Source organism: Homo sapiens, chromosome 18, assembly GCF_000001405.40.
Source record: "Homo sapiens chromosome 18, GRCh38.p14 Primary Assembly".
Classification (NCBI taxonomy): Eukaryota; Metazoa; Chordata; class Mammalia; order Primates; family Hominidae; genus Homo; species Homo sapiens.
In genome coordinates this window covers 79035441-79063394 of record NC_000018.10, presented here as the reverse complement: position 1 = coordinate 79063394, position 27954 = coordinate 79035441, and the positions used below count along the sequence as shown (strand labels likewise).

General features: G+C 47.5%; 1 long non-coding RNA gene across 2 annotated transcripts in view, besides 2 other annotated features; it reads left to right on the top strand.

Moving 5' to 3' along the window:
* The window catches only part of LOC105372225 (uncharacterized), a 62644-nt gene that overhangs the window by 646 nt on the left and 34044 nt on the right, over nucleotides 1-27954 (top strand). The window contains exon 1 of one of the 2 annotated variants that reach the window (XR_001753513.2): nucleotides 15849-16031. The exons of the other annotated variant lie outside the window; for it this stretch is intronic. This is a non-coding gene — a long non-coding RNA (uncharacterized LOC105372225). Of the gene's footprint in view, nucleotides 1-15848; nucleotides 16032-27954 lie in introns of those variants that run through there. 2 annotated transcript variants of the gene reach the window in all.
* Nucleotides 3425-3924: an enhancer, noted in NCBI's record as "H3K4me1 hESC enhancer chr18:76819471-76819970 (GRCh37/hg19 assembly coordinates)". NCBI's record gives its function as "activates a minimal SCP1, AML or CMV promoter by ChIP-STARR-seq in naive H9 embryonic stem cells {active_cell/tissue: H9 hESC(naive)}" and the evidence as "EXISTENCE:reporter gene assay evidence [ECO:0000049][PMID:30033119]".
* Nucleotides 6303-6476: a silencer, noted in NCBI's record as "fragment chr18:76816919-76817092 (GRCh37/hg19 assembly coordinates)". NCBI's record gives its function as "represses an EF-1alpha promoter that drives an FKBP-Casp9 reporter gene in an ReSE screen in HepG2 liver carcinoma cells {active_cell/tissue: HepG2}" and the evidence as "EXISTENCE:reporter gene assay evidence [ECO:0000049][PMID:32094911]".

Here is a 27954-nt window from a genome sequence, read left to right as displayed (position 1 = left end):
AGAAATGAATGTCATTTAATGTCATACAAAGGGACAGTCCCACCCAAAGATGAGGGGAACGTACTTTGTTCAACTCACTGCTTACTAGTTGATGAAAGTCTTTGAGTTGGCAAAATTGCATGTTAACTTGAAGATGTTTGCCAATAGAGGTACAAATAGTTTCTGCTTTGATGCGTATTAACTACATTTTATTTTCTATATTCTTGATGCTCTGGCTAAAAGGGGAGAGCCCGTCCTGCCTACGGCTCATCCATTCTTAGAGATAGCAGATGACTCACCTGCAAGCACACGTTTCACATGCAAGCCGCCAATCCCGCCAGCCACCTCGATTGGTTGGATAAGCTCTTGCATTCCAGGCCACTGTGCCCTTGCCCTGCTTACCATAGAGTGAGGCCAGAGACAGGGAGGACAGTCCTTCATGCCAGGGCCTGCTGATCACATCAGCCAAGGCCAAACCTGCCCAGCCTGTTCTCCCCGCCTTGCCCGGCCTTCCCTTGGAAGCCACTACAAAGGCTCTTGTCTTGCCTCTTTCCCTCTGTGCCCCAACCCTGTGTGGCGTGGCATGGTGTGGCCCCTTCCTGTGGGAGCTCTAACAAACTGTGTTTTCTGTGGCCGTCATCTCCTGATCTGTTGGCCTCACTATATCTAAACAATAATAAAACCTACATTTTAAAACAAATAGGAAAATATACTTCAAAGGATATAGCTTATTGTCCTTTAGGAGATCAACCAGTTTTGTTTCTAACCAAACAATCTTATCTTAATATTCCTTTAGAAAATTGTCTCAATATCTCTAGGTCCTAAAATACTCTTTGAACCAGTTCTACATCTTACTCATTATATCTTCCTTCATTGATTAATAAGTTGAATAAAATCTTGCATGAGCATTGTAATTTTACCTCTTTGAAAATTATACTTTAGGCCAAGCACAGTGGTTCATGCCTGTAATCCCAGCACTTTGGGAGACCGAGACAGGCAGGTTGCTTGGGCTCAGGAATCTGAGACCAGCCTGGGCAGCATAGTGAAACCCTGTCTCTGCAAACATACAAAAAATTAGCTGGGCTTGGTGGCACAGGCCTGTGGTCCCAGCTACTCAGGAGGCTGAGGTGGGAGGATCACCTGGGCCCAGGAGGTTGAGGTTACACTGAGGCAAGATCACACCTCTGTACCCCAGCCTGGGTGACAGAGGGAGATCCTGTCTCAAAAAATAAAAAAAGAAAAGAAAATTATATTTTAGCAAAAAGACATAAGTTTTCACATGTTAAAGAGGAGCTTTTTAAGTATTCTTTATGGATAAGAGCAAGTATCACATTATTGTGGAATTTCAATGTCATTTAACATGTTTGAAAAGACGATGTTTTATTTTTAAATGTCAATACTTTATGATATGCCAAAAATACATGATTGATAACTATACCTATAACGAAAATGTTTAGTTGTCCACATATAATGTGTGAAGGGATACATACTTTCCCAAAATTATTTTAGGGGTCAATGTGCAAAAAAGTTGAGAGACTGCTCTTGTAATGCACACTTAAAAATCAAACACTACCATGAAAGAGGAACCTTGTAAGAGCTGTCTTTAAATACATTTGTAAAAGGCTGATTTCAGCGTTCGTTATTTCCTACCGATGCTTTCCTCACTTTGCTCTCATGGGATTCTCCCTGGAGAGAAATGCATTCTCTCTCGCAGTAGTCAGGGGATGGAAGATGTGGAGTTAGTGAACAAAAATCAACTTTACTCCTACTCCTGTCTACCATATATCTGAATTCAGAACATTCCAGCATAGACCAAAACACAGGATGTCCAACATCATATTTCACCCACTGCATAGATGTGTCTTCAGAAGAGGACGATTAAGTGCCCCTTCAAGGTTGATGATGCCTTGATCAGTAATAAAAGGAGGAAAATGCAGCCACAATACTGAGATTTTTATTCAATTTACCACACAATGCTTTCATATTAATTATAGCAAGTTAATAATTAAAAACCAAAATATTTTTGTCTCGTAATATATCCTAGCTTCTGATTTCCAGAAAGAAAAACTTAAGTCAGGGGCAAATACGTGTGTGTGCATGCACACATGGCACGTAGACTGCACGAGGAGCTTTGGTCATACCCCACAAAGCCTGGGAACTTGAGAGGGGCTTGCTGTTGTTTGGCATCAGGTGAAATGCATTTAGATGAATGTATTTAGTGGCTCATAGTTTCCTTTAAACATTCCCTCAATTACTGCTTTGTAATGAACCACAGATGTTTAAATTACTGTCACAAGAGAAAAAAACGTAATTAATAGCTTGTCATGGAAGTTTCAAAGGTTGGTAAAGAATAAATAAACTGGACTAAAATCTCACTCTTTGGGGTCTGGCTATGGTTGGTTGGGGTTGGGATGGATGAGGCTCTTCTGTATTGCCCACTGTGTGGCTGACAAGGTCTCACCTCCTTAAACTTAATGCTTAAGAATTTCTTTCTTGGCACAACCACAGTCTCAACAATGACAGAAACGGAAAATCTCTTCATACAGCTCCTAAAGGAAGTATATTCTGTTGTTAAAGTTTCATTTATGTCTCTACCACTTCAGGTAGATGAAGATAATTACTTCCAAATTCTTAGTGGAAGCCCAGAAGATATCATGCAGGATGTTTTTAATAGTAATGCAAAAATTATCTTGAAAATTCCAAAGAGAAGGTGTAATAACAAGTACTACCATATGATAATTTTATGTTGAGATATGTAAAATAGTTTATTTTGGAAAAATGGAAATAAGAATTTATTTTGTAAAAATTGCATTTCCATTAAGAGAGTTATATAAAATGAGATTTTACTATATTTTATACATACATTACATAAATATGTAAAGAGAGAGTCAATATTAAAGCATATGTGGCAATAGCAAACACATGAAAGGAACCTAAATGCCCATCAGTGGTAAATTGGATAAGGAAAATGTGGTCCATATACACCATGGAATACTACACAGCCATAATAAAGAATGAAGCCATGTCTTTTGTAGACACGTGGGTGAAGCTGGAGGTCATTATTCTAAGTGAACTAATGCGAGAAGAGAAAACGAAACACCGCGTGTTCTCACTTATAACTGGAAGGCAAACACTGAGTACACATGGACACACGGAGGAGACAGTAGACCCTGGGGCCTACCTGAGGGTGGGGGTGGGATGAAGATGAGGATCCCATACCGTGCTGCTTACCTGGGTGATGAAATAGTCCGTACACCAAGCCCCTGCAACACACAATTTACCCACATAACAAACCTGCCCATGTACCCCCGAACCTAAAATAAAAATTGGAAAGGAAAAAAAAAAACATATGTGCCTTCCAGATCTTCCAGATGAAAGCAAAAGGAAAACCTTGATAGTTAACGGGCCCAGCTCCAGCCTACAGCAGAGGAGCCATCTTTGGTGTTGCTGGGTTCTTCCATTGCTGTGATTTGGAGGAGGAGATGGCTGCCTCTCACTATTGAAGTAAAAGAGGCCAAATAGTCTGCCTACCCGGCAATTTACCCCTGGCTCTCTCTCATCTGGACGCAGGGACGGCTGCAGCTGCTCCCCTCGGCACCTGAGGTCTGTTGGGCTAACTCTTGATCAGCTGCTCTTTTTGACTTCTCCCTTCAAAGGATGATGCAGAAAAGAGTTAACAAGCAGGCCTGACTGCCATCCTCTATAGGGTCTGCTTACCAGGCTGACCCTGGGCTGGCCTCTGGGGACTCGGATTTCAGGAGGGCTCCCAGCAACCTGACAGTGCCTCTCCATGCCCGAGGCGTTTTTCCTGAACACCTGCATTCCTTCTCGAATTCTGGAATCTTGGTGCACGCCAAGAAGAGGGTGCCTGTGTGAGACCCCCAGCAGAAGCCCTGGGGGGTCTAAGGAGCTGCCCTGGTGGACAACACTTCACACGTGTTGCCGCTCTTTGCTGAGAGAATTCGCAGGTCCAGTGAGTCCAGTGGGTCCAGTGGGAGAGGGTGCTGGAGACGGTGCCTGCCTTCTTCTGACCTCACCTCACACACCTTTTCCCTTGACCGGCTGTGCCGGACACTCGGTCGCTCTAGTGGGTGGGCGGGAGTTAGATCATGTGCTGAGTCCTGGGAGTCCTTCTCGTGAACCATCAAGCCTGAGGTGGTCCTGGGGACCCCGGCCCAACCGCCATATGGAGATGCAGTGGCTGCTCTCCTGCTGACCTTCTTCCTGGTCCTGAAACCTTTTCCCTCTTGGCAGTCTACTCCCTTGTTTTCTCCCCTAGCAGTTTCCTGAGAAGGGCTCATGACAGGAAAAGGTTTCTAGACCTCACACCTCTGAAAGCGTCTCTACACCTTCACCTTAACTGGTATGAAATTCCAGGTTGGAAATACTTGTCTTCAGGATTTTGAAGACCCTGCTCCATGTTTTTCTAGAGCCTAGCTTTGCAGTTGAGTCTTTATATGGAATGAAGTCCCTTACATGAAATCCTTAGCCTTGTATGAAAATTGCTCTTTCTCTGGAAGCTTTTATGGACTTGCCTTTGTCCTGAAATTTCATCATTATTTTTCTGTTTGTAATTTTCATTATTTATTTATTTTGAGACAGGGTCTCACTCTCTCACCCAAGCCAGGGTGCAGTGGCATGATTAGCAATCTTCCCCCCACCCCAAATAGTTGGGATGACAAGTGTGTGCCACTGGGCTTTTTTTTTTTTTTTTTTTTTTTTGGAGACGGAGTCCGATCTTGGCTCACTGCAACTTCTGCCTCCCGGTTTCAAACAATTCTCCTGCCTCAGCCTCCCAAGTAGCTGGGATTACAGGTATGTGCCACCATGCCTCGCCTGGCTAATTTTCTGTATTTTTAGTAGAGACGGAGTTTGATCATGTTGGTCAGGCTGGTCTCCGACTCCTGAGCTAAAAGAATCTCCTGCCTCAGACTCCCAAAGTGCTGGGATTACAAGCATGAGCCACCGCATCCGGCCAATTTTTCTTGAGGGTATAATTTTATCCATTTTACTTGGCATTTGGTGGGCCCCTTCTGATAAGACACTAGTGTCCTTCAGTCCTGGGACATTTTTTAAAGTTATTGCTCTAATAGTTTCCTTCCTTTGGTGATGGATTTGTATGTATTAACATAGCTAAGCTTCAGCTGCTTGGCAAATCCTTCCCCTTATGGCTCTGGGTCAGCACAGGCCACAAAGACATTTTGCATGAACTCTCAAAAGCCGAAGTGAAACTGGGGCCATAGTCTTTACACCCTGAAATCAATACATTTTGGAAACATTATGCTGTGCAATAAGCTAGACACAGAAGGGCAAATATTGCAGTATTCTATTGTAGGTGGTCCGTAGAGGAGTCCAATTCCTAGAAACAGAAAGTGAAATGGTTGGGGCCAGGGGGTGGGGGTGGGGGTTGGGGAGTCAGTGCTGAATGAGGACAGAGCTTCAGTTTGGGCAGATGGAAGGGTTCTGGAGATGATGGTGGTGATGGCTGCACAACATTGTATGCTTAATGCCATGGAACTGTCCACTTACAAATGGCTAAACCAGTGAATTTCATGTTATGTCTATTTTACCACAATTTTTAGAAAAAGAAAAAGGAAGAAAACAACTAGCACAAAAGTAAAGATAGTAGTCATCTCTGCGGGTTGGGGGGACACACCAGAGAGCACTAGTAATTGTCTAGGTTTTTTTTTTTTTAAATGGAGACAGGGTCTTTCTACACCACCCAGGCTGGTCTTGAACTCCCGGGCTCAAAGGAGTAGCCAGGATGATAGGCATGCACCATTGTACCCAGCTAATTTTCTAGTTTGTAAATAGGATGGTGGGTTTGTTTATTTCCTTGCTTACATACAGGCTGCATTGATTCCTTTGAAAGGTCATGTATTATCTAATTAAATACATACCACCCACACCACCAGCACCAAAGAAAAAAAAAAGGACCAATATGGGGGCACTGAGCACTTTGGAGCTAAGAAGGCTCCACAGTGTGGGTGTGGGGTGGGCATGACCTGGACCACAGCTTCCCCAGCCCCTGCCAGACCTTCCAATGCCCATGTCCTGGACCAGAGTGTGCAGCTCCGAAGGGCCCAGCCCTTCCTGCCAGCCATACACAGGCTTGAGGTTGGAGGTGGCCTGACAAGGCACAGGCTCTCCTTTGCCCTGTGGGCACCAGATCTCAATTTGTCCTGCTGAGTCCACAGCCAGCCGTCTCCTGACCAGCTTGTCCTGCCGAGTCCACAGCCAGCCATCTCCTGACCACCGCATTCAGGACCACAGTGGCCCCCAGCCCCCACAGTTGTGCAAGGTCTACTCCCATAACCCACCCCTGCTCTGCACCCATAGAGCAGCTCCGCCTCTCCAGCCTCACCTGAGACTGGTCCTGAAAGGGGCATGGAGGAGCAGAGCCTTGGGACAGGCTCCTGGATGAGTGCCATGTTCTTGAGAACTGGTCTTCTCTGGTTCGATTTTCAAGTACTAACGACTTTGTTGACAACGGTGAATGGAACACTGGTTGCGCATGGCATGTGACAGCCAAACTGTTTCTTCAAAGCAAATTTGTAAATGCCTCTAGTCAAGTGCCTGTAGGAGGCAAGGGTGTGGGTGAACAAGCAGTTATGGCCACAGATTTTGTTTGCAAAAATAATTGATACACTAGGGTTGCTTGCTTGCTTCTGTGAGCACTGGAAAAATTGGGAAGAGAAAATGGTGGTCTCAGAATTCCAAATTTCCAGCTTAAGGTCCTTGTAAGTGACCAGAAAGTGTCTGTGAGTCCTTAAAAGAAACCCACATAGCCAGGAGTGACGGCTCACGCCTGTGACCCCAGCACTTTGGGTGGCCACAGCAGAAGGGTTGCTCAAGGCCAGGAGTTTCAGACCAGAGTGAGCAACAGAGTGAGACCTCATTTCTACAAAAAATAATTAGCCAGGTATGGTGGCACTCGCCTGTAGTCCCAGCTACAGGTCCTCCTGAGGCAGAGGGATCCTTTGAGCCCAGGAGTTGGAGGCTGCAGTGAGCTGTGATTATGCCACTGCACTCCAGCGTGGGTGGCAGAGTGAGGTCCTGTCTCTAAAGATAAAGATTAATAATAAAGAAACCCTCACCCCTGTAGCCACAAGGCTGAGAGTTCTGGAAACCAAACCCAGAATCTAATCCGGTGGGTGTCTTCTTTTGTTTGTGCTGCTATAACAAAATGCCACACACTGGGTAACTAATGAGGAACAGAAATGTATTTCCAACTCTGATGGCTGGGAAGTCCAAGACCAAGCCACTGGCATCTGGTGCCTGGTGAGGGCCTTTTTGCAGCCTTGTCTGTCAGGAGGGGCCAAAAAGGCAAAGAGGATGAGTGCTGTGCCCTCACGTGGTGGGAGAGTCAGCAGAGAAAACTCATCCCTGAGCCCTTCTATAAGGCCCTCATCCCACCCACGAGGGCTCCATCGCCATGACTTATTCACCTCCTAAAAGCTCACCTCTTCCTATGATCACAATGATGATTATGTCTCAACACGTGAATTTCAGGGACATTCAGACCACAGCACTCTGGACATGATTTGCCTTCCCCAGCTTTGATATTTCAGTCCAAGTCACCACCCCTGGACACAGAGAATGGTGTTCTCTACAGCATTGCTTCTATCCAAGAGACTGATTTTATACAGTCTCCCTGGATTATACCCATGGAATTTGCTGAGTGAAGTGAGTTGAATGATGGCATCTGAAACATATGTTCATGTCCTAACCCCTGGAACCTTGAATGTGACCTTATGTGGAAAACAGAACTGTACACATGCAGTTAAGGATCTCAGAATGTGACGATCCTGCATTACCATGTGGGCCCTAAATGCAATGACAAGTGTCCTTATAAGAGCAACACAGAGGAGACAGCCACGTGGCAACAGAGGCAGAGATTGTCATGGCCAGGCACAAGCCAAGGAGCACCTGGAGCCACACGGCACTGGAGGAGGCAGGAAGGGTCCTCCCTAGAGCCTGGGAAAGGAGCATGGCCCTGCTAACAACTTGACTGAAGACTCCTGGCCCCCAGAACAGTGGGGGAATAAATTCATGTTGTTTAGGCCACCTAGTCTGTGGTGACTTTCTATAGAAGCCTGGGGACCTGAATATGCTGGGATTGCCAGGTCCCCCCGCACTGTGAAGGAGCTGGCTTGATGAAAGGGTGAAATGGCCTTTTGAAGACACAAGCGCCTTGCTGGGTGGGAATCTTACTCCCCAGGAGGCAGGGTGCAAATGCTCCGCTCGGTGGCCAGTGTGTGGTTCTATTTTTCCACAACCAGGGTTCATGGGCTGGAATTAGAATGACTTCTCCCATGATTTCTCCCTGAGCTCTGCTACTGACACATGTTCTTCCTGTCCCTGAAACTTTAGGATCTGCTGATCTGAGGTCTTAGCTCCCTGGCGGGATGCTCCCATCTCAGGACATACCCCCACAGGACTGGTTCACTGGGCTGGCAGTGGAGTCAACCCCATTAGCACTCTGAGCACTTCCTGTCAGGGGAGCTTGAACCAGCAAAGAAGGGGGTCACTGTACTGGCTGGAATGCTTAGCCCCAACTATCCAGGGGAAATTAGGTTGCTTCTAAACAATGAGGGCAGGGAAGAATATTCTAGAATACAGGCAGGAATGCGAATGGCTCAGACCCTTCCGGAATAAAGGTTTGGGTCACCCCACCAGGCAAGGAACATAAACTGCAGGGTACTTGCTGAGAGCAGAGGGTTAGCGATGGATGGCAAGAGAATGCGGTCATGAATGCCAGCTCCAACGGTCACTGAAACAAAGGCAGGAATAGTTACGGACATAACGTTTTCTTCCTCTCCTCTTCCATGATATAAGATGTGTCAGTGGTAGTTATCCTGCTGTCTCAGTGTTTAAGTTTTAGGGTATCAGAGGGCTGACTCAGTCAGAAAGAGAACAAACATCTCGAAAGATGTAAAGGGGACGTTACAACCCCTTTGGGGAACAAGTTGGTCCATCATTGGTTGTACAGGTGATTACTACAAGCCATACTGGATGAAAGCGTGATTTTGTTACTACCTTTCCCTGAAAGTTAAGTGTGGTTCAAGGGGTGTGGAGTGCATGGCCAACAGGAGCGGCTGTGCTGACCTTGTACCTAACCAGCTTGATTCAGTAGGGGAGAAACTTCCCTGAGTTCCCTTCCCTATGTGGTCTGGGTTGGAATTGGCCACAGACATTTTGAGAAGGATTGAGAAGGCAGAAGGGAAACAAGAACCTTATTTTTGTGTCCAGAAGGTCAGTGCTGGGTGCCCTGGCAGCTTGCAATCGTTGACCTTGGCTGGGCAGCTCACAGCCTCACAGCCCCCTGGCTGCCACCAGGTCCTCTCCTGCACCTTCTTGGAATCCTGATCCAAGTGCATTGTGGGTCTGTGGAGAAGGAGTTCCCACAGCATTGACTTGGAGGCGGTGAGAGATAGACTTGGGTTCCGGTTTGTGCTGAGAGTCGGGCTGTCTTCATAGGGTCCCCTCGTGGGTTTCAGCCATGTTTGCTCTTGTCTGTACCTGTTCACCTAACCCTCCCTGGGTGGCTGAGCCATGGTAACTTCTGGCCTGACTGCCATTCAGGGCTTCACACAGCTCCCCCAGCTCTCACAGTCATGTGAGGTCCAAAACCTAAAATAAACTCCTTATTCTATTTCACTAGTAGCAGTTCTGTTTCTCCAATCACATTCTGATTGATATATCTGCCTTTGTATTCCATTTTTCTGGAATTCTTATTACCTCTTGGATTATCTATTTTTCTTACTTACTTTTATAGTTTGGCACTTTTATTGAGGTTTTCAGTTTTGCTATCATATTGTTTAGAACTTTTATATTATGGGAAATAAACGATTTATTTAAACATGTGCAAAAGTCAAGAGAATGCTGTAATGCGCCTTCCACCAAGCTTGGTATTTGTAAGCTCTTGATCGCCAGCATTTCCTCTGTCCTCCCATTCACTTCCTCCTGCACTGCAGAGTCTTTCGAGGTTTTCCTAACATGGTCTTATTTCCGAAAGCATTTTGGTTCTCTGATGGTTCTCAGAGCAATCTGCTTTCAGCTCATTGATGCACTTTTCTCTCTCATGTCTCCAGATACTAGTGATGGTTTTCAGTTGTTACCTTCCGAGGAGCCTCCATGTCCTCAGAGCTGTTTGAGCAGTTTGTTCACCGTGGCCTCTCTCTGCGTGGCAGAGGGCTCCTCCCTGCATCTGCCTGTCTTTGCTGTCTGCTCACATTTTAGAGTAGGACTCCCAAAAGCTGGTTGAAGGCCGAGGGGGTGACGGGGGCCTGTGGACTCTGATCTTCGACGTGGGATGAATGATTGAGCTGAGTTGTTTTCTTAGGAAAACTCCAACGTCTGCATCCCCCGATGAAAGCAGGATAGGGACGGGTTCTCCAACTCTGCCCTTTAGGTTCCCTTTGGGGGAAGAACCCAGCATGTGAACGTGCACGCAGTGCAGGCCATGCACCTACCTACACGCAAGGGGCGTCCCTAGAGTCTAATGTCCGGTTGCTGGAGAGGGGTCTGCTGGTCTGATTTTCTTAAAAAAAAAAACAGATTTTCAAGGGATTCTTCTGTTTTTGGGTGTCACCTTCATCCTCACTTTTAATGGTGCCAGTGCCTCCGATTCTAAGCCTTTGGGGGTGTCCTGTGGTGTCACTGGGGTTGTCCCTTGGCTTTTGCAGGGCTGACTTAGAATTCAGCCTCCTCCGTCCTGTGGGTCATCTCTGCTTATCTACCTGCACTTCATCTTCCAAACTTCTGTTGCTGTTTGTCTTCTCCCATTCTCTTCTCCTTGGTAGGTTTATGCCCCTCAAACAATCCCTTTATTCTCATTGAAGTTGGGCTATGGGTGGATGGAGCCTAATGCACTCATCCGACACCCCGTCTTCAACTAGACACCCTGCCCTTCTGCAAGACAACCTGTGCGTGTGCCCTGGCAGCCTCAGCCAAAAGCAGCAGGGGAGTCGTTTCCTGGATGTTTGGAACAAGTCCATCAAAGAATATTTTTGAATTTCTATTATGTGCAGAGTACGACACTGTAAGAAACACTGAGGTGCATCCACAGTCCTTGCTGCACCCCCAGGATCCTGCCTGAGTGCTGTGGTGCTCTCCGCAGCACGCACCCACCTGCTGTCACTGCCGGCGCTGCATGCCCCGTGTGGCCCCTGGCCCTCCGCAGCTCCAAAGCACAAAGCTCCATCCTCAATATGCCACCCAACCACTGCCACCCCTGCCATTACTTTATTATTATTTTTCAGTCTCTTTGAATGCAGATTTCATTTTAGATTCATCCATGAATGCACTTTCATTTTATGTCCTTTTTTTAAGTTTGTTGTTGCTGTCGTTGTTGTTGTTTGAGACAAGGTCCGGCTCTATCACCCAGGCTGGAGCGCAGTGGTGTGATCTTGGCTCACTGCAACCTCTGCCTCCTGAGCTCAAATCATTCTCCCACCTCAACCTCCTAAGTAGCTGGTACTACAGGCAAGCACCACCACACCTGGCTCATTTTTGTATTTTTTGTAGAGATGGGGGATTCACCATGTTGCCCAGGCTGGTCTCAGACTCGTGAGCTCAGGCGATCCATCCTCCTCGGCCTCCCAAAGTGCTGGGATTACAGGTGTGGGCCACGAAGCCCAGCCACAATTTTTTTTTTAATTTAAAACTTTTTATACTTAAAAAAATTGAGGTAAAATATACATGTAAAATTTACCATCTTTACTATTTTTAAGTGTGCAGTTCAGTGGTAATAAATACATTCATATGCTTCTTTTTAATCTCCCTTTCCCCTACTCTGTCATTACTTTATGCTATTTATTTATTTATTTATTTTTGAGATGGAGTCTTGCTCTGTTGGTCAGGCTAGAGTGCAGTGGTGTGATCTTGGCTCACTGCAACCTCCACTTCCCAGTTCAAGCAATTCTCCTACCTCAGCCTTCTGACTAACTGGGATTACAGGTGCATGCCAACACACCTGGCAAATTTTTTATTTTTATGTTTTGTATTTGTGGTAGATATGGGGTTTTGCCATATTGGCCAGGCTGGTCTCGAACTCCAGACCTCAAGTGATCTGCCCACCTTGGCCTCCCAAAGCTCTGGGATTACAGGTGTGAGCCACCACACCCAGCCTCTGTTATTACTTTAAATTGCACACTGAAATTTGGGTTGGAAACCTGGTGCAACTCTTCGGTTTAGATATTTGTTATGTGACTTGGTCAAAACTCTAAAACCTTCTGTTTCATTATTTCATATACAGATAACGGTATCCAAGCACACAGATATTTTGTGAAGAAAATAAATGACTAGACAGAAAGGAATTATAGAAAAAACATTATAAAAATACCATGTAAGTGTTAGTATAATTTTTTTTTTTTTGAGATAAGAGTCTCACTCTGTTGCCCAGGCTGGAGTGCAGTGGCACAGTCTCGGCTCACTGCAACCTCCACCTCCTGGGTTCAAGTGATTCTTCTGCCTCAGCCTCCTGAGTAGCTGGGATTACAGGCATGCACCACCACGCCTGGCTAATTTTTGTATTTTTAGTAGAGACGGGGTTTCACTAGGTTGGCCAGACTGGTCTCGAACTCCTGACCTTGTGATCCGCCCGCCTCGGCCTCCCAAAGTGCTGGGCTTACAGGCGTGAGCCACCACGCCTGGACCCTAGTATAAATTTGTTTTGTTTGGTTTTGTTTGGTTTGGTTTGGTTTGTTTTTTGAGACGGAGTCTCGTTCTGTCACCCAGCTGGAGTGCAGTGGCACGATCTTGGCTCACTGCAACCTCCGCCTCCCAGGTTCATGCGAGTCTCCTGCCTCAGCCTCCTGAGTAGCTGGGATTATAGGCACACACCACCACACTCGGCTAATTTTTGTATTTTTAGTAGAGACAGGGTTTAACTATGTTGGGCATACTGGTCTCGAACTCCTGACCTCGTGATCCGCCCACCTCGGCCTCCCAAAGTGCTGGGATTACAGGTGTGAGCCACCGCGCCCAGTCAGCTAGTATAAATTTTTTTAAAGGCAGACTCTGATTCTCTTGCTTAGGTGTTCTGCTTTATTTATTTATTTATTTATTTATTATTTTTTGAGACAGGGTCTTGCTCTGTTGCCCAGGCTGGAGTGCAGTGGTACAATCATGGCTCACTGCGGCCTCTACCTCTCGGGCTCAAGCAATCCTTCTGCCTGAGCCTCCTGAGTAGCTGGCATAGTGCCAGCCACTGTGCCTAGCTTGTGTGAGTATAATTAAAGCAACATCTCCAGTTTCAGCTTTAGTGGGACTTCAATACGCCTGGACATTTCTACAGTGCTGGTAAAAGAGACCACAAGAAGCTGCTTTACAAGAGAACGGAGGGAAATGGTGCAGCCGCTGTGGAAAACCAGGCAGCAATTTCTCAAGAGATGAAGCAGGAAGCAGCCATCTCACCCAGCAGCTCCATGCATTCCATGTAACTTCCAAGAAATGAAAATTTGCCAAAAGCTTGTGTACGAATGTTCATAGCCACACTATTCATGATAGCTAAAAGGTGGAAATAACCCAGATGCCTATTTACTCATGAAAGAATAAACTAATTGTGATAAAATGAAATACTGCATGGTAACTTGATGTGCTGACACAGGCTGCATTGTGGATGAGCCTTGAGAACACGCTCAGTGAAGAAAGACAGTCATAGAAGGCCAGGTCTTATGTGAGCCAGAATAGCAAAGTCCACAGACAGAGAAAGAGGCAGATCAATGGCTGTGTGGGGCCAGGGACACACACAGGTGTGTGTGAGGTGTGAGGGTGACAGCTAAAGGGCATGAGTTTCCTTTTGGAGTGGTGCAATGTTCTAAAGTTGGGTGCAGTGATGAAAATACTAAAATGTGCTATACTGTGGAATTGTGGCCGAGCGTGGTAGCTCATGCCTGGAATCCCAGCACTTTTGGAGGCTGAGGCTGGAGGCTCACTTGAAGCCAGGAGTTTGAGGCCAGCCTGGACAACATAGCAAGACCCTGTCTCTACAAAAAAAAAGAAAGTAAATTAGCTGGGTGTGTTGATGCATGCCTGTAGTCCTGGCTACTTGGGAGGCTGAGGCAGGAGGATCACTTGAGCCTGGAAGGTTGGGGCTGCAGTGAGCTCTGATCATGCCACTACACTCCAACCTTGGCAACAGAGAGACTCTGTCTCAAAAAATTAATAATCATAAAAACCCTGCTGAATTGTACACATTAAATGAGTGAATGCTATGCCATTTGAGTTGCATTTCAAAAAAGCTGTTACAAAAACATAGACCTGAGGGGCTCCTAGGACAAGAAGCTAAGGAAATCATCACCATGGGCTTAGCCCAGAAAGGGGGGCTTGGTTCCCGGAGGGCGGCTGCTCAGAGCCTGGCCCAGTGGATCTGTGACATGCCCACAGCCCACCCTCATCCAACCCACGCCTAAGCTCTGAAGAGGGCAGAGGGACCATCGGCCAAAATCTCAAGTGAGGGCTTTTGCTCCGGCAATTAAACTACCTGGAGCTGGACAGACAGAGCCAGGTCCTCGTGGCTGACGTGTCCTCGTTTCCAGGGCCAACGTCAGAGACTCGGGAGCTGTGCTGAGCAGAGCTGCGTCTGGAGTGGCCTCGCCCTGGGCTCTGAGGAAATGCAGCAAGGCAACACAACTGAGGACTGCGCCCTGGGGGCCCTTTCTCCCAGAGGCTCTGCCCAAGGCCAGCGTGATGTCCCAAGGGGCACAACTGCAGCTGTGACTACTGCCTGCCCTCCGGAGGACCCGCAGACCACAGCTGACCAATGGATGTGGAAGGGCTGGGGGCTGCCCTGGGAGGTCTGATGAAAGTCTGTGGGGATGCCTGAGTGTCTTCCAGCACCGGCTGGGATTTAATGCGGCTCAGTTCAAAAGCCCACGGCCGAGACTGTCAAGGCTGGCCATTGCATCTTGGCCAACCTGGGCGGTACACCCCACTCTGAGGTGTACCTTGAAACAGTCGAGAAAACCCGGGGAGGCATAAAGGACTTCTCTTGACTGTTTCAAGGAACACCTTGAAGTGTATGCTTGATTGTACACACCTGGGCACAGATGCACCCCTGGCCTTCTCTGCAGCCTATGGTGGGGGAACTGGCAGCAGAGAAGGGCCACGGGTGGTGATTTGCTTTCTATGTCAACTGGAAGGGCAAACAGTGATTTCAAACATTACTTTCAGCAATGTTATGAACTTAATCTCAAAAAGCCTCAGAAAATTTCTTACCTGACAAATTCATCTCTGAAAACCAACCATCCACTGTCAATGAGAAGGCATAAAATTTGAGAAAAGACAAAAAACCTGTGTCATGTGACACAGAAGATCACGGTCACATGGCAGGGTGCCACAAACAGCAGCGGTGGCAGTGACTCATGCAGTCAGCCCTGCCCGGGGCCGCTGGGTGCCCACCGTGGTGACAGCACCCGGGACTTCCTGCTGGAATCACACAGCATCACTCACCAACTTCTAGGCCGAAAAACAAAACCAAACCACAAACGAAAACTAAGACAGCAGGTCCTACCAGAGGGAGATGCGACGTACACTGTAGGAACGGAGTTCTGACCCACTTTGGTCCTGACCTCTTACAAAGATGGCGCCCCCCGGCGTGGCACGATTCCCGCCTCTTCCAGCGTTCTCTCCAGCAGCGCAGCAACGCACTTGCCCGATGACCTCCCGCTGCGAGATACAGGCGGGAGCCTCACCGCACAGAGACGGCCCCACCGCGGGGCGCGCACGTCGCCTCCAGGGCCTCCTCCAGTCCTCATCTTCTCCTTGGGAGTTCGGGTGCCCTGTGACACGAGCACCTCCCATTCTCCCGGAAAACCTTCCGCAGGATTTGGGCCACTTCCGGATGTTTTTGCTCCAGGAGTGCCACAGAGCGCCTCTCCCGTAGCTGGAGTTAACAGACGGGGCCAGCGCCAGGAACACATGAATTTGGGGTCAACCCCGGGAAGCCGGGAAGGCAAAGCCTGGGGACTCTCTCAGGAGGTCGGGACACAGAACAGGCTTAGCAGCTGCGGGACCCGCGCTTGGCCATTTTTATCTTGCTGAAAATGGTGAGTGTACCTGAGCGTCTACTTAGTTAACAGTCTCTACGTGATTTTCATAAGCGTTTATATAAAAAGTGGCAAACACGTCTAAAACATTATATTAAACGGTGTCGAAGAGTAACAGGTCAGATTAGGGCTTCTGCGGTTCTGAGAAATCTTATCACTTGATTGACGGCAGAGGCCCGTGAGGCCCGGCAGGCAGGAGCTGGGTCTCAATCACAGGGCTAGCGGCTGCTGCGAAAGAGCAAGGACTTGGAGGTCGACTTGGGCCTGAATCTCGCTTAGTGTGTGTGTGGTCAGAAACACACGGCATGCAATGTACCTTCTCAGCTCTTGCTAAGTGTGCACTGCAGTGGTGTCGACTCTGCTCACATTGTTGTTCAGCAGATCTCTCTCTGTGATCTTGCAAATCTGAAATCCTCTACCTGTCGGGCAACACTCCCAGTCCCCCTCCCACAGCTGGTGATCACCACTCTACTTTCAGCCTCCAACAGTTTGACTACTGTAGACACCTGGATGTGAGTCCTGTCCGTGGCTTGCTGGCTGTGGGCCTAATTGTGAGTCCCGTCTGGCCCCTCCCTGGGTCTGTGCCCTCACCGTGCCTGACTCAGCGGAGGCCATGCTGCCCTACTCCCTCCAGCTCACAGGGCAAGGCACGTGCTGGACCCGGCCCCCTTCGCCCCTTCTCATGCTGTCGCTCCAGTGGGCTGAACCCTGCTGCCCCCGCAGTTTCTGCTCCTTCGCGGGTCCTCCCCTCGAGGCTGCCCTCCCTGCAGCTGAGACTGACTCTGGTTGCTCTCTGGAAACCTGCTTGTCACCTGCCCCGGTTCCGTGCAGCCTCCACTCAGACTCTGTCTGCCCTGGGTCTCCTGCTGACCCTGGCTGTTGGTTTCAAGTCGCAGGCTGGACACTATTCCTGGAAGAGGGCTGCCTGGTACTCATGTCTCTGACGCCGGGTGGACCCCTCCTTCCCCCCACAGCACCGGGCAAGCCTCTGTCGCTTGCTTCCTGTTGGCATTGTGCCTTGATTATCAGCAGAAGCTGCTGGAATCGAATTCCTGCCTTCCCCACCTGGCTCAGGACCTGACACAGGTTAGGGTCTCCACAGACATTGTCAGGACCTCGGATCCTCCCACCTCATTGTGAGATATTTGTGCCCGTAATACTACAGGGTGACTAATTTTCCCCTTCGTAGTACTCATGTCTGCTATTTGTTCCAGCCCTTATTATGTGAAAAATTAACACCTGCTCCTTTTCCTCTCCTTGTCATTCCCGAAGATATCTGCGGGTGCTGTGTGAGCATCTTAGAGACATTCTCAACCTTGTACTTCTCACCCTGGCTGGCTAAATCTCTCAGTCAATTTGACCTCAGATGTCATATCTGATATTGCTAATCTATGAAAATACATCTCTGAATTTAGGGACAATGACAAGTGCCACATCAGATGTCTCCTAATTCATAATTTATAGGTGTCTCATTCATAACTGCCTCTCCTCCCATTCCAAACTCACTGAATATGCAGGAGAGGAGAAGCAGCAATTATTTATAATAACTTTATTAGCTATAATTTGCATCTATCTTCTGAAAGGATAGAGTGATGTTTCTGGGAGCTGCATATTAAACACAAGTGCTTCTACTTGACCTTGCCCCAATTCATTCCACACACAGCAGTGTGTCTTTCTTCCTGGAAAGGATGGGTACAATTTGTCACCACACAAATTATACTGTACTTGCTGTTGACATTCTTTTATCAGATAAATTACTTGTACTTATTATGCTGAAGGCAGTTTCCATGAAAATTTGATATTGTGAAAATCTTAGTTTAAGTTGGGACTAAGAGGATTGGATCTCTTTCTACAATGGACAGAGAAATACCGGTCTTGATTACAGGTGTCCGTGACAGTTTTCTGGAATAAAAACCCAGATATTTTGTGTCTTCTAGTTTGCAGCACAGTTCAGGCATGTCCTGTGCCTCCAGCTGGCTGTCCTTCCATGTGGTGAGGCATCGCACACACCTGGGCACAGATGCACCCCATCCTTCTCTGCAACCTGTGGTCGGGGAGCCGGAGGCAGAGAAGGGCCATGGGTGGCGATTTGCTTTCTACAACAACTGGAAGGGCAGAAAGTGATTCCAAACATGACTTACAGCAATGTTGTGAACTTAATCTCAAAAAGCTCCAGAAAACTTGTTACTAGCATGACAAAGTCATCTCTGAAAACCAACCATCCATTGTCAATGAGAAAAACGCACAAAATTTGAGGAAAGACAAAGAAAGCACTTGTTAGTGTTTTTCTGGAAAAAAAAAATCCCTTCTTGCCCAAGAGTAATATATGTTCATTATAGAGCTTTTTAAACTTCGAGGAAGTAAAAAAATTGAAATGAAAACTGTCCACATTTCTTTTGCCCAGAGATGGCCACTGTCAGCACTGTTGCAAGCCCTGCTCTCTCTCCTCTCCTTTTCTGTACGTACGTGTACTTTTAAAAATAAACATAGGCGTTTTCATTCCTCTTAAAAGATATGAAATTTCCTAATAGAAAATAAACTTAGTCTTCTCTTTAAAATGTTTACTCAAAAATTTTATCTTACACATTTGTATCGGATATGCATGTGTATAAATATTACTGATGAATTGTCAATAACGAAAAATGAATTTTCAGTAAAGACAACATTTTAACCTTCCTTTTCTTGTTTGTTGCTCTTTTGGCTCTTTATAATTAATCGAAATAATTTTTTTTTGTTTTTGGCACCTTTCTATTTTTTTTTTTTTTTTTAGACGGAGTCTCGCTTTGTCGCCCAGGCTGGAGTGCAGTGGTGTGATCTTGGCTCACTGCAAGCTCCACCTCCCGGGTTCATGCCATTCTTCTGCCTCAGCCTCCCAAGTAGCTGGGACTACAGGCACCCACCACCATGCCTGGCTAATTTTTTGTATTTTTAGTAGAGACGGGGTTTCACTGTGTTAGCCAGGATGGTCTCGATCTCCTGACCTTGTGATCCGCCTGCCTCGGCCTCCCAAAGGGTATACCAGTTGTCTGAAGACAACATATTCAATCAATTTGAGTCATTTTCTTAGCTCTCTCTTTTGTATTTTAACTTCCTACACTAATTAAAATTAATAGCAAATAAAAATTTTAAGCTAGTCAGAACAGAAGCTATTTTCCTGAATTTTTTTTTCTAAGATTGGTAACATTTATCAGACTTTAAAATCTATGTAATATAAGTGACAGAATGACTTTGAAAAGAGACCAATGCTGTGAGTCCGTGTCAGGCAGCCCTTTAATAGACACAGGTCACTGCAGGTGGAAACTGTTACATTATGATTGTGTGTGTGTTAGTGTGTGTACCACACTTTACATGATATTGACTGCAAACCACTAGAAAGTACATACTTAGGACATGTCCAGTGACACCAGACTGTTGAGTCATCAGAGGCTGAAGGAGACCCTAACACGCTGAGGGCACCTGGGAGGTGACCAGGACCCACACCGTTCCTGGTTTGTTTAGACAAAGTAGATGAGGTCTCCGTTAAGCAGCCTGCAGGAACTCCCATGCTAGACTCAGCAGAGCTAGAAGCTTCTCAGAGACCCTTGTTTAGACATTGTGACAACGCCTAACGGGACTTCTTCCCCATGTTTCTCATTAGGAATAGCAATTTAAGCTGTAGTGTAAGACATTTCTTATTATGGGTTTATAGCTATTAATATGACAATGAAAGATAATCTTTCTTAGGCCACATCTTGTATGATTCCATTTAGGTGAAATGTCCAGAATCAGTGAATTCGATAGAGACAGAAAGGAGATGAGTGGTTGCTAGGAGTGGGGGATGGGGTTGGGGTTGGGGTTGGGGTTGGGGTGGGGGTTGGGGTGGGGGTTGGGGTGGAGGATGCGGTGAGGGTTGGGATGGGGGATGGGGTGAGGGTTGGGGTGGGGGTTGGGGTGGGGGTTGGGATGGGGGATGGAGTGGGGTTGGGGTGTGACTGCGTGACTGCTAATGGGAATGGTGTTTCTTTTTTTTTTTTTTTTTTGAGTCGGAGTCTTGCTCTGTTGCCCAGGCTGGGGTGCAGTGGTGCGATCTTGGCTCACTGCAAGCTCCGCCTCCCAGGTTCACACCATTCTCCTGCCTCAGCCTCCTGAGTAGCTGGGACTACAGGTGCCCGCAGCCACGCCTGGCTAATTTTTTGTATTTTTAGTAGAGACGGGGTTTCACCATGTTAGCCAGGATGGTCTCTATCTCCTGACTTCGTGATCTACCTGCCTCGGCCTCCCACAGTGCTGGGATTAAGGCGTCAGCCACCGCACCTGGCCGGTGTGGTGTTTCTTTCTGGGGTGAAGGAAATGCTCTAAAATGAAGTCATGGTGATGGCTACATAACTCTGTGAAGATATTAACCTATTAAGTTGTGGACTTTAGATGGGTGACTCCTACAGTATGTAATTTACATCAATAAAGACGTAAAAATCCTTCCTTTTGTCTAACATCTGTAGGGCTATGACTTACTCTGATGTCCTTGTTTACTCTAGCGTGGAGTCAACGAGCTTATTATTTGATCTAGTCTCCATGATGGCTTGTTTGTTTACAGCTGAGCAAGTTTACATAGGGCAAAATTAAATTTTCATATTAATTGTGTAAAACAATGTCCAGATGCATTCAAAGTTTCCTTTATGTCAGAATGCAAAGATGTTTCTACTGCCTTTCATTTTTTAAAAAACTAAAAGTTTTAGTATGTGGCTTTTAGATATTTCATGACAGAAAATGTAATGTTTACTTATTCCAGATGTTGTCAGCTTCTGCAATATAAATGTAAATCAGAAAAAAGCAAGGTTACAGCCTAGCATTCTGTTATTATGTGTCAAACCACACATCATTACATCGTCTCATTTTCCATCTTTAGCTAGCTAGTTGTAAATAGTCTGGACTGTACCTTAAGAACCCGTTCTTCTATTATATTTAAGCTCTGAGTGGAAGTGGAGCTGAAGCAACTGGAAAGAGGAAAAGGGTTGGGCCAAGCTGTGCAGTAGGCAGGATGAGCCGGCAGCCTCGGTGCTGAGATTTGCTTATGTCTGGGAGTCACGGGCAACAAAAGGAGCCTCAGGGCCCGTTCCCTTCCTTGTCCACCTTTGTGGCCCTTCGATATTGTCTACAGATTGGGGTGGCCGTCTAAACAGAAGGTGCAAGGAGATCATTCGCTGTTTCAGATCCTCCTGATGCCCCGCTGTGCTCTGGGTGCGTGGCTGACACCTTCCTTCAACCACCAGCCCACGGGGCCTCCTGCGACACCTCCCACTGTCCCAGGGAGCGTGGCCACCATAGGCCAGGCCCCTGCACGACAGCTGCTGCCCCTCTGTCCAACTGACCCCGCCCCTTGGGTCTCACTGCCTTCAGGAGCCTCCTGGGAACTCCCACGTTTCTGGGTAAAGTCCCTCTTCATCCTTCTATAGACTGCATATTGTGTGATTCCATTTATATGAAACGTCCAGAATAAAAAGAAAGAGAGAGAGAGAGAGAGCATAGATTGCTGACGGCCGGGCTAGGCTGTGGGGGCTGCTCATCAGCATGGGGAGGACGCACCTCAGCTTTTGAGGCCTCTGCCCTTGGTGTGCTTCTACATCCCTGACCTTCCAGCCAAGCCAGGCCTGGCTGCTCTGGGATTTGTCACCTCCAGGCCTTTGTTTCTGGGGCCCCCCCTTTCCCAGTCACCACTGAAATCCTGGCTCGAGTCCCCTTGGATGTCACTGCCTCCATGGTCACCGCTGAACTCCTGGCTCGAGTCCCCTTGGATGTCACTGCCTCCATGATCACCTCTGAAATCCTGACTCAAGTCCCCCTGGATGTCACTGCCTCCATGGTCACCGCTGAACTCCTGGCTCGAGTCCCCTTGGATGTCACTGCCTCCATGATCACCTCTGAAATCCTGACTCAAGTCCCCTTGGATGTCACTGCCTCCATGGTCACCGCTGAAATCCAGGCTTGAGTCCCCTTGGATGTCACTGCCTCCATGGTCACTGCTGAAATCCAGGCTCGAGTCCCCTTGCATGTCACTGCCTCATGGTCACATTCGGGGACCCTCTGCATTAGACATCTCTTCCTCCTCTGAACTCCCAGCACGTGGCAGAACTTCTCACGCAAGGCAGTCACATTTGTATTTTGTTATTTGTGCAGTTGTTGTATTCATTCTTTGCAGAAAGGAACTGTGTCTAATTTTCCTTAGTGTTCTCCAGTGACCACCGCACCTGCTGTAAGAGGTGCTTAGTAAGTACTTGCAGGGTTGAATGGTTAAGCTTTTCTCTCTCTTCCTCCTCATTGCAGTGTGGCTTGGGGGTGCTGTGAGCAGCACAGGTTGCTCCCGCTCTGCATCGCAGACTCCCTTGTTCACTTGAATTCCCCCTAGGGATTATACGTCATTTTTTTTGTTTGTTTGCCTTTTTGTTTTGTTTTGTTTTGTTTTGTTTTGAGATGCAGTCTTGCTCTATCGCCAGGCTGGAGTGCAGTGGTGCGATCTCGGCTCACTGCAACCTCTGCCTCCCAGGTTCAAGTGATTCTCATGCCTCAGCCTCCTAAGTAGCTGGGATTACAGGTGTGCGCTGCCACGCCCAGCTAATTTTTGTGTTTTTAGTACAGACAGGGTTCCACCATGTTGACCAGGCTGGTCTCGAACTCCTGACCTCAAGTGATTTGCCTGCCTTGGCCTCCCAAAGTGCTAGTATTACAGGCGTGAGCCACTGCACCAGCCTAGTATTATTTTTACCACATTTATTTTTTATTATAACTCTCACTCTACTGCAAATTTTTGACTGCAGAAACTTAATACCCATCAAAGATCATGACAAATTTATGTTCAGATGTATTTTAAGGAGTAGTGATACCATTATGAAATTTGGGAAGCTAACACAGCTCAGTGTTTAAGAGTTAATGCCCTGCAGTGAGACCTCTGGGTTTTACTCCCTTTCATTCCACTTAGCAGCCATGTGATCTTGAGCAGGTTTTAAATTTGGAGTATCGGTTTCCTTATCCAAAGAGTGGGGATGATAATAGTACTAACTTCAAAAGATTTATGTGAGAATTAAATAACAGAATGCAAATAAAGCATTTAGCAGAGTGCCGACTCATTAGTAAATGATAATAGCTGCTGGAGATGATCACAACCCATTGCCTCAACTTATGGCCATGTCTCCTCTAAGGCGTCTCCTCTCCATCGTCTCTTCAGTTCAGACATTTATGTTGCTGAGCATCGTGTCATGTATCAGGTCTGCCTCACAGGAGACAACAGAGTGCAAGATAGGGCATCAGAATGATGTCACAGTCCCCAGACTATACTGATGTTCCACGAGAACCTTAGCATGCAGTGCCAGCCATGAGAAACTTAGCAGTATAGTACTATCCATGAAAAAGTACCACCCACGAGAACCTTAGCAGTATAGTACTATCCACCAGAAAGTACCATCCACGAGAACCTTAGCATAGGGTACCATCCACGAGAACCTTAGCAGTATAGTACTATCCACGAGAAAGTACTATCCACGATAACCTTAGCAGTATAGTACCATCCACAAGAAAGTACCATCCACGAGAACCTTAGCATAGAGTACCATCCACGAGAACCTTAGCAGTATAGTACTATCCATGAGAAAGTACCATCCACAAGAACCTTAGCATAGAGTACCATCCACAAGAACCTTAGCATGCAGTACCACCCACGAGAACCTTAGCATAGGGTAGCAGCCACGAGAACCTTAGCAGTATAGTACTATCCATGAGAAAGTACCATCCACGAGAACCTTAGCATAGAGTACCATCCACAAGAACCTTAGCATGCAGTACCAGCCACGAGAACCTTAGCAGTATAGTACTATCCATGAGAAAGTACCAGCCGTGAGAACCTTAGCATAGAGTACCATCCACGAGAACCTTAGCAGTATAGTACTATCCACGAGAAAGTACCATCCACGAGAACCTTAGCATAGAGTACCATCCACGAGAACCTTAGCAGTATAGTACTATCCACGAGAAAGTACCATCCACGAGAACCTTAGCATGCAGTACCAGCCACGAGAACCTTAGCAGTATAGTACCATCCATGAGAAAGTACCATCCACGAGAACCTTAGCATAGAGTACCATCCATGAGAACCTTAGCATACAGTACTATCCATGAGAACCTTAGCATAAAGTACCATCTAAGAACCTTAGCATAGAGTACCATCCACGAGAACCTTAGCATATAGTACCATCAGAGCCTTAGCATAGAGTACCATCCATGAGAACCTTAGCATAGAGTACCATCCACGAGAACCTTAGCATACCATACCATCCATGAGAACCTTAGCATAAAGTACCATCTGAGAACCTTAGCATAGAGTACCATCCACAAGAACCTTAGCATGTGGTACCATCAGAACCTTAGCATAGAGTACCATCCACGAGAACCTCAGCATAGAGTACCATCCACGAGAACCTCAGCATAGAGTACCATCCACGAGAACCTCAGCATAGAGTACCATCCTCGAGAACCTCAGCATAGAGTACCATCCACGAGAACCTTAGCATAGAGTACCATCCACGAGAACCTTAGCATAGAGTACCATCCACGAGAACCTTAGCATAGAGTACCATCCACGAGAACCTTAGCATACCATACCATCCATGAGAACCTTAGCATAAAGTACCATCTGAGAACCTTAGCATAGAGTACCATCCATGAGAACCTCAGCATAGAGTACCATCCACGAGAACCTCAGCATAGAGTACCATCCACGAGAACCTTAGCATACAGTACTTTCTACAAGAACCTTTGCATATAGTACTATCCACTATTATCAGAGCGTGCACCAGCCTCTTCCTTCTCCTTTCGTTGTGAAAAGCTGCAGATGCACTTTGTGGATGTTTCATTCCATAGAGGGAGCTGTTCACAAATGCTCAGCACTCCCAGGAAGGAGGGAAGGAGAGTGTCCTCCTAACACCAAAAATATCTCAAAATAAAAAAATCCTCATTAAAGAATATTCACACTCATGAGTTAAGAAAAAGAAAAGGAGAAATTGCCTGGAATAAATTCAGATCACCCTTTGATTCTGTCCACTGAGACGTATAAGTAACTGCTCCATTAAACAGAGGCAGCATAGACCAGAATGGAGGCTGCAGCTCACAGCCTGGGCTCCCTGCCCAGTGAGCTGCGCCCAGCCAGCCTCAAGTACGGTGCTCACCTGTTCTCAGCAAACAGCTGGATAATAGGCACCAAAGTTATTTTTCAATGTAATACAAAAACATAAAATCATATGTTGACAACTCTTTCCCTCCCTAGAGAAAAGAAAGGATGATGTCAAAACATCAGACAAACAAAATAAAACTCCAGACATGGGGGCAGCCAGATTCATGACAAGAAGCCACACTATTTCAAAATGATTTTCCATAAAATTAAAATATAATGCATGAACATTTAAACTTATGTTTGCTAGCACTTACACAAACACCTGTGGATATAGATGCCATTTACTTGAATCCATATTAAATATCCATATTAAATAAATAACTTCAGTATTTTGTCCTCATGGTGGGAACATGACAAGGCCACTCAAAGAAACCCATCGCAGGGAGCAAGCCCTCTCACTCACCACTGGAAAGAACATAGAGAGTGACATCCCCTGGAAGGCTCTGAGACATGGCGGAGTGGAAGACTGCTTCTGGAGCCAGGATGCCTGGGTGGAAACTGACAGTCTCCTGGAAGGCTCTGAGATATGGGGGCTATGAGGAATGCTTCTGGAGCCACGATGCCTGGGTGGAGGGTGACATCCCCTGGAAGGCCTGAGACATGGTGGAGGGGAGGACTGCCTCTGGAGCCAGGATGCCTGGGTGGAAACTGACAGTCCCCTGGAAGGCTCTGAGATATGGTGGCCATGAGGAATGCTTCTGGAACCACAATGCCTGGGTGGAGGGTGGCAGTCCCTTGGAAGGCTCTGAGATATGGTGGAGGGGAGGACTGCTTCTGGAGCCAGGATGCCTGGGTGGAAACTGACAGTCCCCTGGAAGGCTCTGAGATATGGCGGAGGGGAGGACTGCTTCTGGAGCCAGGATGCCTGGGTGGAAACTGACAGTCCCCTGGAAGGCTCTGAGATATGGTGGCCATAAGGAATGCTTCTGGAGCCATGATGCCTGGGTGGAGGGTGACAGTCCCCTGGAAGGCTCTGAGACATTGCAGAGGGGAGGACTGCTTCTAGAACCAGGATGCCTGGGTGGAGGGTCGCAGTCCCCTGGAAGGCTCTGAGACATTGCAGAGGGGAAGACTGCTTCTAGAACCAGGATGCCTGGGTGGAGAGTGAGAGCTGTGAAAGGCTCTGAGATATGGCAACCATGAGGACTGAATCTAGAACCAGGATGCCTGGGTGGAGGGTGAGAGTTGTGGAAGGCTCTGAGATATGGCAGCCATGAGGACTGAATCTAGAACCAGGATGCCTGGGTGGAGGGTGAGAGTCGTGGAAGGCTCTGAGATATGGCAGCCTTGAGGACTGAATCTAGAACCAGGATGCCTGGGTGGAGGGTGAGAGTCATGGAAGGCTATGAGACATGGCAGCCATGAGGACTGAATCTAGAACCAGGATGCCTGGGTGGAGGGTGAGAGTTGTGGAAGGCTCTGAGATATGGCAGCCATGAGGACTGAATCTAGAACCAGGATGCCTGGGTGGAGGGTGAGAGTTGTGGAAGGCTCTGAGATATGGCAACCATGAGGACTGAATCTAGAACCAGGATGCCTGGGTGGAGGGTGAGAGTCGTGGAAGGCTCTGAGATATGGCAGCCATGAGGACTGAATCTAGAACCAGGATGCCTGGGTGGAGGGTGAGAGTCATGGAAGGCTATGAGACATGGCAGCCATGAGGACTGAATCTAGAACCAGGATGCCTGGGTGGAGGGTGAGAGTCGTGGAAGGCTATGAGACATGGCAGCCATGAGGACTGAATCTAGAACCAGGATGCCTGGGTGGAGGGTGAGAGTCGTGGAAGGCTATGAGACATGGCAGCCATGAGGACTGAATCTAGAACCAGGATGCCTGGGTGGAGGGTGAGAGTCATGGAAGGCTATGAGACATGGCAGCCATGAGGACTGAATCTAGAACCAGGATGCCTGGGTGGAGGGTGAGAGTTGTGGAAGGCTATGAGACATGGCAGCCTTGAGGACTGAATCTAGAACCAGGATGCCTGGGTGGAGGGTGAGAGTTGTGGAAGGCTATGAGACATGGCAGCCATGAGGACTGAATCTAGAACCAGGATGCCTGGGTGGAGGGTGAGAGCTGTGAAAGGCTCTGAGATATGGCAACCATGAGGACTGAATCTAGAACCAGGATGCCTGGGTGGAGGGTGAGAGTCATGGAAGGCTATGAGACATGGCAGCCATGAGGACTGAATCTAGAACCAGGATGCCTGGGTGGAGGGTGAGAGTCATGGAAGGCTCTGAGATATGGCAGCCATGAGGACTGAATCTAGAACCAGGATGCCTGGGTGGAGGGTGAGAGTCATGGAAGGCTATGAGACATGGCAGCCTTGAGGACTGAATCTAGAACCAGGATGCCTGGGTGGAGGGTGAGAGTCATGGAAGGCTATGAGACATGGCAGCCATGAGGACTGAATCTAGAACCAGGATGCCTGGGTGGAGGGTGAGAGTTGTGGAAGGCTATGAGACATGGCAGCCATGAGGACTGAATCTAGAACCAGGATGCCTGGGTGGAGGGTGAGAGTCGTGGAAGGCTCTGAGACATGGCAGCCATGAGGACTGAATCTAGAACCAGGATGCCTAGGTGGAGGGTGAGAGTCATGGAAGGCTCTGAGACATGGCAGCCATGAGGACTGAATCTAGAACCAGGATGCCTGGGTGGAGGGTGAGAGTCATGGAAGGCTATGAGACATGGCAGCCTTGAGGACTGAATCTAGAACCAGGATGCCTGGGT